General features: G+C 45.4%; 1 protein-coding gene across 1 annotated transcript in view, besides 1 other annotated feature; it reads right to left on the bottom strand.

Annotated features, from left to right (window-relative positions):
- The window catches only part of ENPP6 (ectonucleotide pyrophosphatase/phosphodiesterase 6), a 129,168-nt gene extending 112,417 nt beyond the window's left edge, over positions 1-16,751 (bottom strand). Inside the window, exon 1 of the mRNA NM_153343.4 lies at positions 16,457-16,751. Within this exon, the coding sequence (NP_699174.1) occupies positions 16,457-16,697 (241 nt within the window). The 5' untranslated portion in view covers positions 16,698-16,751. The remainder of the gene's footprint in view (positions 1-16,456) is intronic.
- Positions 7,391-7,984: an enhancer, noted in NCBI's record as "NANOG-H3K27ac-H3K4me1 hESC enhancer chr4:185129666-185130259 (GRCh37/hg19 assembly coordinates)". NCBI's record gives its function as "activates a minimal SCP1, AML or CMV promoter by ChIP-STARR-seq in naive H9 embryonic stem cells {active_cell/tissue: H9 hESC(naive)}" and the evidence as "EXISTENCE:reporter gene assay evidence [ECO:0000049][PMID:30033119]".
- Positions 16,752-20,583: the final 3,832 nt, after the last annotated feature.

A 20,583-nucleotide genomic window follows, 5' to 3' on the forward strand; every position in this document is an offset into this window, starting at 1 on the left:
GGACCCCCAGCTCTGCCCCAGGTCTCTGCCTGGTTATCGTGTGGACACAATGGACCTATTCATGGAGAGGGGCTCTGAAACTCGAGCAGGTGTTGCTGAAGGTGTCTCTGAGATGAATGTTAACCTGCTGAGTCAGGCTCCCTCCAAATTAATCTGAAATGCCCTTTAACCCACTTTTGGCACAGCACTCATGCTGAGCAGGAACTGGAGCTGCAGGGGTCAAGCCATCCCCAAAGCCTTGGCAGGAGGCACATGATCCTATCAATCAACATTGGGGTGAGGGAGGCGGGGCGGGGGGGTGTTGTGAGATCGCCATGGTGTGTAGACCGCAGTGGCTCCACGTGGACAAGCCTTCTGGAAACGCCTTTGCTGTTATTACAATCAAAAGCTTTCACCACATTTTACAGCTTTGCCCCCTACTCTAACCACTCCCTTCTTCATGGAGCAAGTTTCCAGCAGCTGAATGCCATATAATCAGAACACCCTCTGGTCACCATGGAAGCCAAAAGAAACATACTTTTTGAAAAGTGACACTTCAGTGCAGAGAGGTCTGTTGATAGGAGCTTAAATAATGATGTGCTGGGAGACATTATTTTAGTAAATTCTTAGAACACATTTTTTTTTTTCCTCAGGGCATGGCTGGTTAGTAGTGCTCTTACCCACTTCTAGCTTCAATTGCTGGACACCTCGCCTACCATGCCTGCTTCTTTAGGCAGCTTAATCGAGGCTCATTACAGAGAGTATAGTTTAAGTGGAAAAAATGTTGTTAGGTGTCTCTGGGAAGTATATGACAAAATGTTGACAAAAGTTAATTCAGGTGGGAAGACAGATTTTAACTGTGCATCCGTGAGAAATATTCTCTACCAGCTGGGTAGCAAGCAGTGAGATAGGAAGTCCATTTACTGGGGTCCACTAGGACCCACAGGATCAATTTCTCTCCTTTGCCTCAGTGGTATTCTGCATGCTTCTTGAACTCTCCTTTAAGACATGGTCTCTGATCCCCTAAAGGGCTAATGCCAAGTGAATATCTTACTCAAATTGAAATATAATTTGATGAAAATTACTTTTCCAAATAAATCTCACTGAGATTAATAGCCCTTCAAACTTTCCCATCTGTGCTAATGAGAGCCCCTTTACTCAGACTTCAGAAGATCTTGCAGCTGTGGCATCTGTTCAGGCTCTTCTTTCGTATTCACTCATCAGCCAATCAGCAAGTTCTGCCTCATGGGTGCCCTTCAAATTCAACTCTCCCCCTCACTTACAGCCCATCATAAAGGATAGATGCGGTGAAGTCTGGAGTGGAACAGGAGGGGAGGAGGAGCCTGTTGGACTATCCTTTGGTATGGCTTTCATAGACTTTCATCAATTGCACGTTTTTGACACACTCTATTCTCTGCAACCCCCGACCCACACCCAGATGGCAAATGGGCTCAGCACCCCTCCTTCTGACCTGACCACGCTCACTTCTCCTCCTTTGCCCAAACTATCCATGATCACAATGTTCTATTTTATCTTTTACCTCTGCCATGAGAGCAGCATGTCTCATTTAGAAGTTGCTTTTTTCAGCCTGGGTCCCAGAATGAAGAGGAAATCGGAGGGGAGGTCATTCCTCAAGGCCACGCACATGAGTGAGGAATAAACCTGAGCTATTCTAAGACAGACGTGGTGTGGAATTGCTTGTTGCAACAACATAACTCAGCCTCACCTTACTGATAAAGGGGGTAATATGTACACTCTTACTAATGGTGAGTTTACACATATATTTGCTCATTCTGTTCTCACAGCAAGCCTATTGGGTAACATTTACTTTCTACATTCTACTGATAAAATATTAACACTCACTGGACACAATGGCTCATGCCTGTAATCCCAGCACTTTGGGAGGCCAAAGCAGGTGGATCACCTGAGGTCAGGAGTTTGAGACCAGCTTGGCCAACATGGTGAAACCCCATCTCTACTAAAAATACAAAAAAAAAAAAATAGCCAAGTGTGGGGGCAGGTGCCTGTAATCCCAGCTACTCAGGAGGCTGAGGCAGGAGAATCGCTTGAACCAGGGAAGCGGAGGTTGCAGTGAGCTGAGATCGTGCCACTGCACTCCAGCCTGGATGATAGGACGAGACTCTGTCTCTAAAACAAAACAAAACAAAATATTAACACTCAAAAGAAGCTGTTCAAATTCTGAAAGTCAAAAAGTGACAGAATAGATTAAGTTTGATCTTTGACAGCTAAATCCGTAACTTTCTCCACTGGACCATGCGTAATGGGTTGACTTGTGGCCCCCAAGAAGATATACTGAAGTTCCCAGCCTCAGGACCTGTGAATGTGACCTTATTAGAAATAAGCCCTTTGCAGACATAGTCAAGTTAAGATGATGTCATTAAGGTGGGCCCTAATTCAATATGGCTGGTGTCCTTACAAGAAGGAGAAGCACAGAGGAACACAGAGAATGCCCCGTGACAATGGAAGCAGAGGTTGGAGTGATGTATCTACCGGCCAAGGAATACCGAGGATTGCTGGTGACACCAGAAGGCAGGGGAAAGCGCAGAACATGTTCTCCCCTTGAGACTTCAGAGAGAACACGGCCCTGCCCGCACCTGGATTTCAGACTTTGGGAATCCAAATTTGCTATAGCAGCTCTAGGAAGCTAACACACCATGACTGCCTCAATTTCAGGGCAGAAGTCACCAGAAACTCTCAGTGAGTAGGTTTGGTCATGGAAGTGGGCTGTGTAAAAAAACCCTGCATTTTTCCATTAGCAGCCTAGTGTCACGATCCCGTTTATATTGCTTTCCAATGGCTGTCAGGACAAAGTAACACAGGCTGGGTGGCTTAAACAAAAGAAATCTAGTTTCTTACAGTTCTGGAGGCTGGGAGTTTGAGATCAAGATGTCATCAGGGTTGATTTCTTCTGAGGCCTCTCTCCTTGGTCTGCAGGCAGCCGCCTTCCCCCTGTGTCTATATGTGGTCTTCCCTCTGTGCCCGTCTGGGTCCTAATCTCCTCTCCTTATAAAGATACCAGCGATACTGGATGAGTGCCCACCCTAGTGACCTCATTTTACCTTAATTACTTCTTTAAAGATCCTATCTTCAAATACAGTCACATTCGGAGATATTAGGGGGCAGGGCATAAACACATGGGTTTTGGGGGTGTACAAATTAGCCCATAACGTGGCCTGATATTTTTAAACATCTAAGTAGCTCCTTGCGATGCTGGCATACATAGCCTGGCCACCTAAGCAGCCTGGGACAGAGGCTGAAAACACAAGAGTGGCCGTGCAAGTCCCTTTAAGCTGCCACATGCGTCCCTAGGTCCGACAGCCAGACCACTCGCACCTAGGCCTGAACCGTCCTCACAGTGTTCCACGCTGGTTCTGAATCATGTGCCTGGTTCCATGCGTGGCTGTTGGCTCCACTTTCTCGACTTCAGCGATCTTCACTACAAGGAGGCTCTCCCTTGGGCTGTGCTGACCACTGGTTCCTGGTTAAACTTTCTCCCACCATCCCCAGTCTCTTTCATCTCCTACTTTGACACAGCTCTCCTTGGAGGTGACTCTCCTTCCAGGCCTCTTTCTGACTCCAACCTTATAATCAAAATTTAAAACAAAACTGAAAGACACATTTTGAGATATGTAAGATTACTAGACGTAAAGGGTAATCAGTTCACTAAATGCAAATTGCTTTCATATGAGCAAAGCATGATTGTAGTTTTTTCTCCTCCTTATTAGTTTAGAAGTGTCGAACATCAAAGTGATCATTCATTTCCCTGAAACTCTGAATGTCTTAATCATCATTATAATGCTTTTTCGCTATAGTAATTTTTTTTTTGAGATGAAGTTTCGCTCATGTTGCCCAGGCTGGAGTGCAGTGGCACCATCTTGGCTCACTGCAACCTCCTCCTCCTGGGTTCAAGCGATTCTCCTGCCTCAGCCTCCCAAGTAGCTGGGATTATGGCACCCACCACTACAACCAGCTAAATTTTTTTGTATTTTTAGTAGAGACAGGGTTTCACCGTGTTAGACAGGCTGGTCTCGAACTCCTGACCTCAAATGATCCACCTGCCTCGGCCTCCCAAAGTGCTGGGATTATAGGTGTCAGCCTCTGTGCCCAGCCCACTATAATAAGTTTTATTTGGAGAAGACAGAAATAAATAATCTGGTGCCGTGATGGAAAATAAAGAAAGTAAGAGGGAGAGAGAGCGCTGGTGGGGTGGCTGGGGAAGACGCATCCGCCACGGTGACCTTGTGGGGCAGATCTGAAGAATGCAGCGATGCCCAGCTTGGGCCTTTCTGGGGAACAAGCAGAAGGGAAGCAGCCAGGAGGAGCAGCGTGCTCAAGCACGCCCAGCGGGACACAAGCAAGCGAAGAGAAGGGTGGTGGGAGCGAGGCCCCGAAGGGGCTGGGTGACCTATAGGGCCAGGTCTGCAAGAGCGTTAGATTCCACTTGGGGTACAACAGAACCCGCTGGAGGGTTTGAACAGAGGAGTGGTGTCATCAGGACTGCTTTCCCAGGGCTGCTCTGGTTGTAGGGCAGGCACTGCTTTCAAAACAGGGCTGCTCTAGTTGTGGGGCAGGCAGCGAGAGGGAGCTGGAGTAGAGGAGGCTCCAGGCAGTCAGGGTGGTGGCTTCAGCCAGGGGTCAGCAATGGAGGTTGGGGGAGGAGAGGCTGAGGATCGACCTTGAAAGGTCAGCTGATTTCACTGTGAGACAGAGGAAGGTCAGGGAGATCAGGAGGAACCAAGGGAAAGGATGAAGGAGGAGTGAGTAAAGTAAAAGGAAACTGAGAGAGGACAGGGTCCTGGGACCTGTGAGCCGTCAGGCAGATGCAGCTCCCAGCCAGGGAACTAAGGCTGGGAATGACCAGGACGCCCGGGAGGACACTGTTCCAAACAGAAGCTTCGCTGGATTTGGTGCAAGAGAGAGTAGGAAGACAGGAAGAGGGCATGCCGAACAGAGATCATTTATTTCAGGAGGTACCTACATTGAAGGAGGCTCACAAGCTGGGGCAATGTCCCCATGTAAATGCTAATCCTGGGGGAAGGAGGGCGGAGGGGACCAGGGAGGCTGTCTCCACCCTACCTGGAGCTGTGCGTATGCAGAGTCTGTGAACAGCCCCTCAAAGGAAGCTTGAATTTTTTTTTTTTTTTTTTTTTTTTGAGACGGAGTCTCGCTCTGTCGCCCAGGCTGGAGTGCAGTGGCGCGATCTCGGCTCACTGCAAGCTCCGCCTCCCGGGTTCCCGCCATTCTCCTGCCTCAGCCTCCCGAGTAGCTGGGACTACAGGCGGGCGCCACCAGGCCCGGCTAATTTTTGTATTTTTAGTAGAGACGGGGTTTCACCGTGTTAGCCAGGATGGTCTCGATCTCCTGACCTCGTGATCCGCCCGTCTCGGCCTCCCAAAGTGCTGGGATTACAGGCGTGAGCCACCGCGCCCGGCCAGGAAGCTTGAATTCTGCAGAAGGCTGAGGATGTGGGCTCTCTCGAAACACGATTGTTCAAGTACTTTCTGCATTGATTGCCTTTGGTCCAGTTTTAATTTAAATCAGATGTTTTCTTAAAAGGTGGGGTGGTAGGAAGTATACCTTACTCTGCTGTTTTACCCCAGAACATGATATCTAGTAAGAATTTGTGTCACAGGTGATTTCTAGGAGTGCGAGACAAAATGCCGTGGCACAAATAGTAATGCTGAGTAGTTAACATCCCTGTTGTTGCCTTGATTTCCACAGAGGAGCACGATGATTCGGTCTCTCGCTGCTTCCCGGACTGTCTTGGGGAGATCTCTATCCTTGGGTCTCAGGTCACTCGCACAACCTTCTGGCCACTCTAAGATGCAGGCTTAGGCCCTGGCCAGTTACTGTGTGAGAACGGGACCTCTGATGCCTACTCGCCTAGGCGCTGGCCAGTTGCTGTGTGAGAACGGGGTCTCTGATGCCTGCTCCCCCATCTCAGCTCTGCCACGACGTTCTTTGGTGCCTGAAACAAAACATTGAATTTCCCTGCACTTTATTTACTAGTGTCTAAATGTTGAAATAATAATAATATACTGTGGAACAAACTTATTTCAGCATCTGTTCATCTCTTGGTAGTTTACTGGCAGTAAAGATAAAATTCTAGACTGGCTTCCCCGCTACTCAGAATGTTTCTGGGCCACTTTCCTCAACTGCTTAACCGGAAGTGTTTGAAAATTGCAAACAAATGTTACCATTAGCCTTAGCAAAATGATGCTAAGTTACGCTGCCTCAAAACAGATGCAGCATTTCCCTCTTACCCATGACCTGGATTGAACAAATCACTGCTTTCTTTCCTTGACTTTATGTTAAACTCCACTTCAGTCAAATGTGAATTTACCCCAAAGGGAGAATAACTTTACGAAAAGATCCACGGTAAGATACACTAAAACAGAAAGCATTCCAAGGGCATTTAAACTGTGGTTGTGTTTTCACTAGTTGATCCACACACCGCTCTTCAGAGAGAGAGCTTATGCCTAAAGTAAGATGTAGAGACACACACCACGCCGGTGGCTGTTTCTTCCAGCTCAGATCTCTCCTCTTTAAAATGCTTTTTCACACTACTCCAACTGGAAGGAACGCCTCCTCTCCCTGGTCCTCTGCAGCACGCTGGGGCCCTACTCCCTATTCTCTGTGTATTCATTCGCTTGGGCTGCCATTATAAAGTACCACAGATGGAGTGGCTCCAACAACAGCAACTTATTTGTTCACAGTTCATGAGCAAGGTGTTAGCAGCATTGGTGTCTCCTGGGCCCCTCTCCACCGCCTGCGAGGGCCGCCTTGCTGTGTCCTCAGATGGCCTTTTCTCTGCACGTGCGCATGCCTGTGTCTCTTCGCCTTCCTATACTGTCATATTGGAATAGCCCGCTCTAATGGCCTTGTTTTAACTTGGTCACCTTTAAAGACCTTATCTCCAAATGTGGTTACATTCTGAGGTACTGGAAACCCAACTTGAACTGGGGGACAGGAGGATGAGGACACATTTGGGCTCACAACACCTTGCTACACACTTTAGAATATTAGTGGGCACCCATTCGCGAGTGTTCTGCCTCCCCTGCTTGAATGTAATCTCCCTGGTGAAAGGCCTGTTTTAAGATTCAGTGGGAGGAGCCAAGATGGCCAAATAGGAACAGCTCTGGTCTACAGCTCCCAGCGTGAGCGATGCAGAAGATGGGTGATTTCTGCATTTCCATCTGAGGTACTGGGTTCATCTCACTAGGGAGTGCCAGACAGTGGGCGCAGGTCAGTGGGTGCGCGCACCCTGCGCGAGCCGAAGCGGGGCGAGGCATTGCCTCACTTGGGAAGCACAAGGGGTCAGGGAGTTCCCTTTCCGAGTCAAAGAAAGGGGTGACGGATGGCATCTGGAAAATCGGGTCACTCCCACCCAAATACTGCGCTTTTCCGACGGGCTTAAAAAACGGCGGACCACGAGATTATAACCCGCACCTGGCTGGGAGGGTCCTACGCCCACGGAGTCTCGCTGATTGCTAGCACAGCGGTCTGAGATCAAACTGCAAGGCGGCAGCGAGGCTGGGGGAGGGGCGCCCGCCATTGCCCAGGCTTGCTTAGGTAAACAAAGCAGCAGGGAAGCTCGAACTGGGTGGAGCCCACCACAGCTCAAGGAGGCCTGCCTGCCTCTGTAAGCTCCACCTCTGGGGGCAGGGCACAGACAAACAAAAAGACAGCAGTAACCTCTGCAGACTTAAATGTCCCTGTCAGCTTTGAAGAGAGCAGTGGTTCTCCCAGCACGCAGCTGGAGATCTGAGAACGGGCAGACTGCCTCCTCAAGTGGGTCCCTGACCCCTGACCCCCGAGCAGCCTAACTGGGAGGCACCCCCCAGCAGGAGCACACTGACACCTCACACGGCAGGGTATTCCAACAGACCTGCAGCTGAGGGTCCTGTCTGTTAGAAGGAAAACTAACAAACAGAAAGGACATCCACACCAAAAACCCATCTGTACATCACCGTCATCAAAGACCAAAAGTAGATAAAACCACAAAGATGGGGAAAAAACAGAACAGAAAAACTGGAAACTCTAAAAAGCAGAGCGCCTCTCCTCTTCCAAAGGAACGCAGCTCCTCACCAGCAATGGAACAAAGCTGGATGGAGAATGACTTTGACGAGCTGAGAGAAGAAGGCTTCAGACGATCAAATTACTCTGAGCTACGGGAGGACATTCAAACCAAAGGCAAAGAAGTTGAAAACTTTGAAAAAAATTTAGAAGAATGTATAACTAGAATAACCAATACAGAGAAGTGCTTAAAGGAGCTGATGGAGCTGAAAACCAAGGCTCGAGAACTACGTGAAGAATGCAGAAGCCTCAGGAGCCAAAGCAATCAACTGGAAGAAAGGGTATCAGCAATGGAAGATGAAATTAATGAAATGAAGCAAGAAGGGAAGTTTAGAGAAAAAAGAATAAAAAGAAATGAGCAAAGCCTCCAAGAAATATGGGACTATGTGAAAAGACCAAATCTACATCTGATTTGTGTACCTGAAAGTGATGGGGAGAATGGAACCAAGTTGGAAAACACTCTGCAGGATATTATCCAGGAGAACTTCCCCAATCTAGCAAGGCAGGCCAACGTTCAGATTCAGGAAATACAGAGAACGCCACAAAGATACCCCTCGAGAAGAGCAACTCCAAGACACATAATTGTCAGATTCACCAAAGTTGAAATGAAGGAAAAAATGTTAAGGGCAGCCAGAGAGAAAGGTCGGGTTACCCTCAAAGGGAAGCCCATCAGACTAACAGTGGATCTCTCGGCAGAAACCCTACAAGCCAGAAGAGAGTGGGGGCCAATATTCAACATTCTTAAAGAAAAGAATTTTCAACCCAGAATTTCATATCCAGCCAAACTAAGCTTCATAAGTGAAGGAGAAATAAAATACTTTACAGACAAGCAAATGCTGAGAGATTTTGTCACCACCAGGCCTGTCCTAAAAGAGCTCCTGAAGGAAGCGCTAAACAGGGAAAGGAACAACCGGTACCACCCGCTGCAAAATCATGCCAAAGTATAAAGACCATCGAGACTAGGAAGAAACTGCATCAACTAACGAGCAAAATCACCAGCTAACATCATAATGACAGGATCAAATTCACACATAACAATATTAACTTTAAATGTAAATGGACTAAATGCTCCAGTTAAAAGACACAGACTGGCAAATTGGATAAAGAGTCAAGACCCATCAGTGTGCTGTATTCAGGAAACCCATCTCACGTGCAGAGACACACATAGGCTCAAAATAAAAGGATGGAGGAAGATCTACCAAGCAAATGGAAAACAAAAAAAGGCAGGGGTTGCAATCCTAGTCTCTGATAAAACAGACTTTAAACCAACAAAGATCAAAAGAGACAAAGAAGGCCATTACATAATGGTAAAGGGATCAATTCAACAAGAAGAGCTAACTATCCTAAATATATATGCACCCACTACAGGAGCACCCAGATTCATAAAGCAAGTCCTGAGTGACCTACAAAGAGACTTAGACTCCCACACATTAATAATGGGAGACTTTAACACCCCACTGTCAACATTAGACAGATCAACGAGACAGAAAGTCAACAAGGATACCCAGGAATTGAACTCAGCTCTGCACCAAGCGGACCTAATAGACATCTACGGAACTCTCCACCCCAAATCAACAGAATATACATTTTTTTCAGCACCACACAACACCTATTCCAAAATTGACCACATACTTGGAAGAAAAGCTGTCCTCAGCAAATGTAAAAGAACAGAAATTATAATAAACTATCTCTCAGACCACAGTGCAATCAAACTAGAACTCAGGATTAAGAATCTCACTCAAAACTGCTCAACTACATGGAAACTGAACAACCTGCTCCTGAATGACTACTGGGTACATAACGAAATGAAGGCAGAAATAAAGATGTTCTTTGAAACCAACGAGAACAAAGACACAACATACCAGAATCTCTGGGATGCATTCAAAGCAGTGTGTAGAGGGAAATTTATAGCACTAAATGCCCACAAGAGAAAGCAGGAAAGATCCAAAATTGACACCCTAACATCACAATTAAAAGAACTAGAAAAGCAAGAGCAAACACATTCAAAAGCTAGCAGAAGGCAAGAAATAACCAAAATCAGAGCAGAACTGAAGAAAATAGAGACACAAAAAACCCTTCAAAAAATCAATGAATCCAGGAGCTGGTTTTTTGAAAGGATCAACAAAATTGATAGACCACTAGCAAGACTAATAAAGAAAAAAAGAGAGAAGAATCAAATAGACGCAATAAAAAATGATAAGGGGGATATCACCACCGATCCCACAGAAATACAAACTACCATCAGAGAATACTACAAACACCTCTACGCAAATAAACTAGAAAATCTAGAAGAAATGGATACATTCCTCGACACATACACTCTCCCAAGACTAAACCAGGAAGGAATTGAATCTCTGAATAGACCAATAACAGGATCTGAAATTGTGGCAATAATCAATAGCTTACCAACTAAAAAGAGTCCAGGACCAGACGGATTCACAGCTGAATTCTACCAGAGGTACAAGGAGGAACTGGTACCATTCCTTCTGAAACTATTCCAATCAATAGAAAAAGAGGGAATCCTCCCTAACTCATTTTATGAGGCCAGCATCATTCTGATACCAAAGCCAGGCAGAGACACAACAAAAAAAGAGAATTTTAGACCAATATCCTTCATGAACATTGATGCAAAAATCCTCAATAAAATACTGGCAAAACGAATCCAGCAGCACATCAAAAAGCTTATCCACCATGATCAAGTGGGCTTCATCCCTGGGATGCAAGGCTGGTTCAATATACGCAAATCAATAAATGTAATCCAGCATATAAACAGAGCCAAAGACAAAAACCACATGATTATCTCAATAGATGCAGAAAAAGCCTTTGACAAAATTCAACAACCCTTCATGCTAAAAACTCTCAATAAATTAGGTATTGATGGGACTTATTTCAAAATAATAAGAGCTATCAATGACAAACCCACAGCCAATATCATACTGAATGGGCAAAAACTGGAAGCATTCCCTTTGAAAACTGGCACAAGACAGGGATGCCCTCTCTCACCACTCCTATTCAACCCAGTGTTGGAAGTTCTGGCCAGGGCAATTAGGCAGGAGAAGGAAATAAAGGGTATTCAATTAGGAAAAGAGGAAGTCAAATTGTCCCTGTTTGCAGATGACATGATTGTATATCTAGAAAACCCCATTGTCTCAGCCCAAAATCTCCTTAAGCTGATAAGCAACTTCAGCAAAGTCTCAGGATACAAAATCAATGTACAAAAATCACAAGCATTCTTATACACCAACAACAGACAAACAGAGAGCCAAATCATGAGTGAACTCCCATTCACAATTGCTTCAAAGAGAATAAAATACCTAGGAATCCCACTTACAAGGGATGTGAAGGACCTCTTCAAGGAGAACTACAAACCACTGGTCAACGAAATAAAAGAGGATACAAACAAATGGAAGAACATTCCATGCTCATGGGTAGAAGAATCAATATCATGAAAATGGCCATACTGCCCAAGGTAATTTACAGATTCAATGCCATCCCCATCAAGCTACCAATGCCTTTCTTCACAGAATTGGAAAAAACTACTTTAAAGTTCATATGGAATCAAAAAAGAGCCCGTATCGCCAAGTCAATCCTAAGCCAAAAGAACAAAGCTGGAGGCATCACACTACCTGACTTCAAACTATACTACAAGGCTACAGTAACCAAAACAGCATGGTACTGGTACCAAAACAGAGATATCGATCAATGGAACAAAACAGAGCCCTCAGAAATAACGCCGCATATCTACAACTATCTGATCTTTGACAAACCTGAGAAAAACAAGCAATGGGGAAAGGATTCCCTATTTAATAAATGGTGCTGGGAAAACTGGCTAGCCATATGGAGAAAGCTGAAACTGGATCCCTTCCTTACACCTTATACAAAAATCAATTCAAGATGGATTAAAGACTTAAACGTTAGACCTAAAACCATAAAAACCCTAGAAGAAAACCTAGGCATTGCCATTCAGGACATAGGCATGGGCAAGGACTTCATGTCTAAAACACCAAAAGCAATGGCAACCAAAGCCAAAATTGACAAATGGGATCTAATTAAACTGAAGAGCTTCTGCACAGCAAAAGAAACTACCATCAGAGTGAACAGGCAACCTACAAAATGGGAGAAAATTTTCGCAACCTACTCATCTGACAAAGGGCTAATATCCAGAATCTACGATGAACTCAAACAAATTTACAAGAAAAAAACAAACAACCCCATCAAAAAGTGGGCGAAGGACATGAACAGACACTTCTCAAAAGAAGACATTTATGCGGCCAAAAAACACATGAAAAAATGCTCATCATCACTGGCCATCAGAGAAATGCAAATCAAAACCACAATGAGATACCATCTCACACCAGTTAGAATGGCAATCATTAAAAACTCAGGAAACAACAGGTGCTGGAGAGGATGTGGAGAAATAGGAACACTTTTACACTGTTGGTGGGACTGTAAACTAGTTCAACCATTGTGGAAGTCAGTGTGGCAATTCCTCAGGGATCTAGAACTGGAAATACCATTTGACCCAGCCATCCCATTACTGGGTATATATCCAAAGGACTATAAATCATGCTGCTATAAAAACACATGCACACGTATGTTTATTGCGGCATTATTCACAATAGCAAAGACTTGGAACCAACCCAAATGTCCAACAATGATAGACTGGATTAAGAAAATGTGGCACATATACACCATGGAATACTATGCAGCCATAAAAAATGATGAGTTCATGTCCTTTGTAGGGACATGGATGAAATTGGAAATCATCATTCTCAGTAAACTATCGCAAGAACAAAAAACCAAACACCGCATATTCTCACTCATAGGTGGGAATTGAACAATGAGAACACATGGACACAGGAAGGGGAACATCACACTCTGGGGACTGTTGTGGGGTGGGGGGAGGCGGGAGGGATAGCATTGGGAGATATACCTAATGCTAGATGACGAGTTAGTGGGTGCAGCGCACCAGCATGGCACATGTATACATATGTAACTAACCTGCACAATGTGCACATGTACCCTAAAACTTAAAGTATAATAATAAAAAAAAAAAGAAAAAAGATTCAATGTTCCTGGCATTCAATTGTTTGATTCATCTTCATGATCATGATTGGCATTTTGGTTGCTTTTGTCCTGATATAAACATGTTTTGAGGCAAATAAATAATCAGCCATGGTGGCTTCATGGCAGCAACTGGGCTAGATGGTTTCAAGGTTGCTCACAAATAGGCCTGTTGATTCCCCATCCCCATCCACTGTGAAATTCTCTGTCTCAAGGGAGTTTCCGCTATTTGCATACTTTCTACACGAAGGCCTCCTAGGAGGGTCCAGCCCTAACTTTAAAATTACCTGTGCAAATAGCAAAGACTTTGAACCAACCCAAATGCCCATCAATGATAGACTGGATAAAGAAAATGTGGCACATATACACCATGGAATACTATGCAGCCATAAAAAAGAATGTGTTCATGTCCTTTGCAGAGACATGGATGAAGCTAGAAGCCATCATTTTCAGCAAACTAACACAGGGACAGAAAATCAAACACCACATGTTCTCACTCATAAGTGGGAGTTGAACAATGAGAACACATGGACACAGGGAGGGGGACATCACACACTGGGCCCTGTTGGAGGATCGGGGGCACAGGGAGGGAGAGCATTAGGACAAATACCTAACGCATGCAGGGCTTAAAATCTAGATGACGAGTTGACAGGTGCAGCAAACCACCATGGCACATGTATGCCTCTGTAACAAAACTGCACGTTCTGCACATGTGTCCCAGAATTTAAAGTGAAATAAAATAAAATAAAATTCCCCATGCATTGCCTAGTTCTATGTCTGCATCCAGCAGCACCTGAAATCCCGGCCTGATGCAGCCCCGGCAGTTCATCTCATTTTATTTTGCCTGAAGTCTCCAAGCAAGTTCTCCCAGCTCAAGGGCCAGCATTCTTTCCAACAACTCATCACTCCTCGTTATGCAAAGGGAAGAACACCAAGGGCTTTCTGTATTCTGAGCAATAATTCGGGTAATGAAGTGAGAGCTTAGCCTCTCTTGTGAATGCTGAGGAACCCTAAAACAGCATATCTTTTGCTTCCAAAAAGATCTAGCATAGCAATTTTGTTGGTTCATAAAATGCTCAAATGCTCAAACCATATGTTTAGCTACAATTCCCAATGGCTATATCCTTCTTTATATGAGTAAAAGAGGAGGTTTTCAGCATCAGGTGGAAAAATAAGTATGGGTATTGGGGAAAATAGTCTAAATTTAACTCTGAGTCAGTTCCAAGACAGTGGAGGTGATACCAGGTTCATGGCCTGGCATTTCCCAGCCTGCGAATTCTGCTTCAAGTCTGCAAGTCTGCCCAGTAGGTACAAGACAAATCATACCCAAGGACATTTGTACAGAAACATGAGCCTTGCTAGATCCCTCCCTTGTGCAGGGTAGCTTCTATGAAACATATAGACCAAGCAGACTTCCACATCAGTGAATACATTTGGCCATCTGAAAATACAGAGACTTAACACATATGGAGACCTGTGGCTTCCTCGGGCCAGCCTCAGTTTGAAAGCAAGGGTGAGATCTTTGTCAGACACTCACGGGACCTGTGCTGCCCATAAAGGAAGGGGCCCTTCTCTCAGGACAGCACAAGGGAAAACACCCACAGCCGGAAAAGAAGGTGTGTCTCAGCATGACGGAGGCTGTGTGCAAATTATTCCTTGTGCCAATATCAGGAGTGTGGATCTGACAAACAAAAGGCCATGTCATTGGCTTAGTGTCTCTGTGGAGTCTGTAATGGTCCTTTTACTTACTTGAGTCCTTTCTAAGATGGATTTTGTTCATTTTCCACTAAGATTGCAGAAGCTGCACGTGGCGTGGCAGTTTATGAATTGGGTCCCCTGGCAAGGCTCTGAAAGACAGCTGGAGTGGGGGTGGGCTGTGTGTGTGAAGCCGCTGCACAGAGCTGGAGTCGGCTGTCCACACAATCACGTCTATGTGAGAGCCGGCAGCCTGCAAACTGCTTCCCTGCAAGGGGAGACACATGCCAGGGGAGGGCCAGAGAATTTTGTTAATTCTGTTTATCTTAGAGACTGTTTTTTTGTCTGCTGGGGGAAATAAAAAACAAATACATAACTTCCTTGCTTGTGTGCAGTCTGATTTTTTTCTCTCTCTCATGCCCTCATTTTTATTTCTCCGAAGTATCTCTCCCCTTCAGTTTGGGGCATCAGTTTATGGCATTTTTCCGTACATGTGTATATAGTATCTATGCACAAAGTCAGAGATATAAATGTCTGTTTTAGACTCTTTTGGCTTTAGTGTTCTGTGGAGGTCCATGAGATATCAGAGATCTCATTTTCTTTCTGTTAACATAATTAGCAGAGCTCTCTCTGTGCTCAGAGTGCATAGCTGAGTCCCGCATAACCAGCAATAACAGTGCATTCTTAGCAGCCTCCCTGGATAGTTTGCTAAATTCTTTCTGAGAGCCTCTCGCTGCCTTTACAAAGGTTATAGCTGAAAAACAAACCAGAAACTGGGAATCCAACTCTGTGAGCAGAGAGAGGGCTGCACATTCTATTATCGCACGGATAGAGGCTCAGGTTCATGCAGTCGCGTTTGGAGTCCTGGCAATTTCAGATGAAGGCCGTCCTTAGGAAAATCAGCTATCCCAAGCCCAGGCAGTCTGGGTTAGCCGAGGTTTTTGTTTGTTTTGTGGAGTTTTTGCTGGTTGGTCTTTTGTAGATGCTGCAAATCACAAATGGGGAACCTGAACGACACAAGCTTTTTCTTCTCCGTATCATTTTACCTGGCCAAAAAGGCAAAAGAAGGGGAAGGTGGCATTGCTAAGTCACAGGGAAGGATATGACCTAAACATCCCCCCTTCCCCAAGTAATCCGGGAGCACCACTCCCCTCTGAGGACCCCACAGGTACTTTCACAGTCCAACACACTGAGAAACAAGCCCACAGGGTGCCAGGATGACATGACCACAGAGAAAAGGGACAGAAGGAGTTTGGGACACATGCACGGACACCTGTTGCTTTTGCAGACTTGAACTTAGAAAATATGAGCCTCATTAGAATTTCTCTTTCTAAAATAAACGACCACTTTTAATATCGTCAAATATCATGTACTGCTATAGTTCTCTGTCCTCCGCACTGAGAATCCAAAACAGGTCCTTGGGATAACTTTTGGGAAACAATACCGCCACGAAAACAAAAGTCTTCTCAGCCAAGAACACAGATTTTTTTTATCTACCTTTGATGTCCCAAAGGACTAGAGAATCCAGAGCATTTAAATAAGACTCCAATGCCAGGAGCTCACTGTTCCCTGCTGGATGCCAGCCCTCCCCTCCCTGCCCAGAAGAGGACATGGTACTCACCAGTCATTAGGGTATAATAATTGGGATACGAGAGACTAGGGAAGTCTGGAGTCAAGTAATCCACTTTTACTCCCCTGCTCACAATCTCTTTGAAACCAGGCAATGACTCCAGCGCCTCATCACTGATGTAGTCTGAGCGAAAACCATCCAGCAGAAACACCAGCAGCTTCCGGCGGGCAGAGGCTGGCTGGGCCAGGCCCAGGGCAAGGGCCAGCAGGAGGGTCCCAAGCTTCACTGCCATGCTGCCAGGAGCCTGCCAGAGCCCGGCTGGCACAGCTGTCGCCTTGCAAAGACTGAGGATGGAGAATCTGTAGCTATTCTCTCTTCCAGGGGCTGGACCTTGAGCCGCTGGCCTTCCTGAGTCAAGTTCACTTGCAGAATTTAAAGGAACAGCACCCCCTTTTCCACACATCTATGCTCACCCTTTACTAGAAAGTCCAGAGACCGACTCCTTCAGATAAACTGGGTTCCAAACAACCCAGAATTAACACCAGGGGAGAGAGTTCAAACTTATTATTTTTGGTGAACGTTCCAGAAATACAAGCACCCACAGAGGTGGAATTTTAGAAGATGACAAAGTCAACACTAACTTTGCAGTTGAGCTAACCAAAGGGAGGAACCAAGGAAAAGGGCAAGATTTTAATTTGCTGTTATCCCACATCATGGCCTCATTTAAACTCTTTTTCACTTAGAATTTAGTAACGCAAACCTCTGGACTCAGTGCATAAACAGGAAACAATACGTTTCGGTGGGCCCATTTGTAAACTTCCCAGCTGTGTCTCTGTAGACACAGCACTTAAAAAAGTTATTTGTCTATGTCTTGGCCACTTATGTTTTTATATGCAGTGTTATTATTTGTTATTATTTTATTTTTCAAATGTGATTTAGCTGCTGGTGCCCATAGGAGGAGGTGGTTCGTAGAAGAGCCCTAGAGCCAATGAGAAGCTTCCAGAGTTGGACAATGGGAAATCATTACTGGCAGAATGGTCTGAAGCAGCATTGCCCCAGGAGGATGGAAATGAAATAGAGAGCTGGAGATTGAGAGCTTGAGATGGAAAAGCAGAGCTAGAAATTACCATGCAGGCTTTGGGACCGAGAAGACTAGGCGGAGTGGAAAATAGGAGGAGGTTAGTGACAGGGAGGCAGATGTGAGCTGGGGAGCAGACAGAGTTAGCACAAAGTACCCAGAGTCCAGGGGTTCCCTAGAGTGGCTCCGTCATGCTACATAAAATTAAACAACACAATTCATGTGAAGGCTTATAAAACATGGCTGAGTGCAGTGGCCCACTTTGGGAGGCCAAGGTGGAAGGATTGCTTGAGGCCAGGAGCTTGAGACCAGCCTGGGCAACACAGCAAGACCCCATCTCTATAAAAAATTAAAAAATTAGCTGGGCCTGGCGGCACGTGCCTGGTCCCAGCTACACAGGAGGCTGAGGTGGGAGGATTGTGTGAGCACAGGTGGTCATATCTGCAGTAAGCTGTGATTGTATCACTGCACTCCAGGCTGGGCAACAGAGTGAGGCCCTGCCTCAAAAAAAAAAAGACATAAAACATGCATGGTCCATAGCAAGTGTTGAACAAATGTTAGATGTTATTCGCATTATAACATTGCTTGTCTCCTGAGGAAACTTGCAGGCTCTGGGCAAACTTTCCAGGGAAGGAAGATAGACACCAGCCACACCAGCCACTCTCAGTCAACCCCAAAATCCCTCTTCCACCTCTGCCCTCTGCTTGTGTCTTTTCTCCTTCTCTTTTTCTGTTGTATTTGAGTCAAGCCCAAACACAGGATCACCATGTCACTTTTTAAATTATGCTGCAAAAGAGAAACACATTGGCCAAATTACCACTCCCCTCTCAGGGGACTTGGCCAAGGATCAGAATTCTTTTTTCCAATAAGAGGTAATGCTTTTTATAATTAAATTTAAATTTTTTTCTTATTAAAAAATAAGGAAAAGGGGAGTTTATCCTAAAAGGTTGTTACTTTGAAAACAATGTTATTCTTTTTTCTTTGAGCTGTGTGGTATTGTTGCTATAAACAGAGAAAAAGAAAAGAGAGAAGAAAGAGGAAAGGAAGGAAGAAAGAAAGAAAAAGGAAAGAAAGAAAAGTAAACGAAGGAAGGGAGAAAGAGAAAGAAAGGGAAGGGAAGAAAAGGGAAGAAGGAAAGAGAACAGAAGGGAAGAGAAGAAAGGAAGAAAAGGGAGGAAGGGAAGGAAAGGGGAGGGGAAGGAAGGGGAGGAAAGGGAAGGGAGGGAAAGGAAGGGAAGGGAAAGGGAAAGGGGAAGGGAAGGAGGAAAAAAAGAATAGAAGGGAAGAAGGGAAAGGAAGAGAAAAAGGGAAGAAAAGCGAAGAAGGGAAGGGAAGGGAAGGGGAGGGGAAGGGAAGGGAGGGAAAGGAAGGGAAGGGAAAGGGTAAGGGGAAGGGGAAGGGAAGGAGGAAAAAAGAATAGAAGGGAAGAAGGGAAAGGAAGAGAAGAAGGGAAGAAAAGCGAAGAAGGGAAGGGAAGGGAAGGGAAGGGGAGGGGAAGGGAAGGGAGGGAAAGAAGGGAAAGGAAAGGGAAAGGGGAAGGGGAAGGGAAGGAAAAAAAAGAATAGAAGGGAAGAAGGGAAGGGAAGAGAAGAAGGGAAGAAAAGCGAAGAAGAGAAGGGAAGGAAAGGGGCGGGGAAGGGAGGGGAGGGGAGGGAAGGGAAGGGAAGGGAAAGGAAGGGAAGAAGGGAAGAAGAGAAGGAAAGGGAAGGTGAGGGGAATGGAAGGGAGGGGAGGGAAGGGAAGGGAAAGGAAAAAGGGAAGAAGGGAAGAAAAGGGAAGAAGGGAAGAGAAGAGATGGGAAGAAGGGAAAGGGAGGGATGGGAAGAAGGGAAAGGGAGGGATGGGAAGAAGGGAAAGGGAGGGAAGGGAAGAAGAGAAGAGAAGGGAAGGGAAAGGGAGGAGAGGGAAGGGAAGGGAAGGAGAAGGGAGGGGAGGGGAGGGGAAAAGGCAGATGCAGCCTGATGGGTTGATGGGCCTCCTAGACACTGAACATCACATGTGCTAGAAGGAGAACTTCTTCCCCTGGTGAGGGCCCATGGAGGTAGGAGGCCCAGATAGCTGTGCTCTGTGAGTTCCTGAGAGGCTCAGGGATTGTCTGGACTGCGAAGCTGGAGTCACAGTGCAAGTCCAAGTGATTTACTTTGGGATGGCCTCTGAGCTCACTTTGGGATGGCTTCTGAGCTCACTTTGGGAGAGGTTAAGCACTCCAAATGTTAAAGATGAATATAAGAGGGACTTCCACTTTTCTCCACTACTAACAAGGGTACACTCAAAATATGGCTCCCTGAGTGCCTCATTGAGCTGTTGTGGGTGTCAACTCAGAAGTAACTTGCTTCAGATTAGCGTGTTCACAGGTCCCCAGAGGCTCCCAAGGCTCCACAAAGATTGTTGTGATGTATCTGGGGTGGGGTCATCATTGTTTTATGATAATGTTTATGATCATATTGTGTTATGACCATGTTTAGACAATGTCTCTAAAGCTTTGGATCAATAAATGATTGCCAATATGAATCTCTAATATACATACCAATATATGAAGAAAGAGACGTATTGGATGGAATTCAAGCCAAGGTAATCCTAGGGTTGCTCAAAGCCAGTCTCCAGGTCTTGAACCGTCTAACCTAGAAAAGATTGGAAATGAAAGCTAAAAAGCAATAGTTAAAAGCCATATGTCATACAGGTGGTTAACATTAAGTGCCCAAAGTCTTGTGATCCAAAACCTATGTGTCTATGATCTGGATGTCTTCACTTGGGAGTGGTTATCAGTACCTAATGCTTATAAGTGCTTATTGCAACTTGTTTTCAAGGGTTGGCAATACTGTAAAGTCATTGTCCACAGGGGTTTCACTTAGATAATGCAAAATATGAAAAATTTACTCCAGAAGTTGAAAGAACCTTTGTCCTAAAGCTGCTGCAAGTCTCTCTAGGGACATGCATGAGCTCTCAGGAAATGTGCTGTCCAGATTAGTCAGCACCCTGGTGCCTCCCCTTTATGGAGAGACAGGTGAGATGGAAGGGAAAGAGTCTCAGAAAAACAAAACAAAACAAAACAAAATAAACAAACAAAAAACACAAAAAAAACGTGATTCCAGAGTCAAGA

The sequence above is a fragment of the Homo sapiens genome, chromosome 4, assembly GCF_000001405.40.
Source record: "Homo sapiens chromosome 4, GRCh38.p14 Primary Assembly".
NCBI classification, from domain to species: Eukaryota; Metazoa; Chordata; class Mammalia; order Primates; family Hominidae; genus Homo; species Homo sapiens.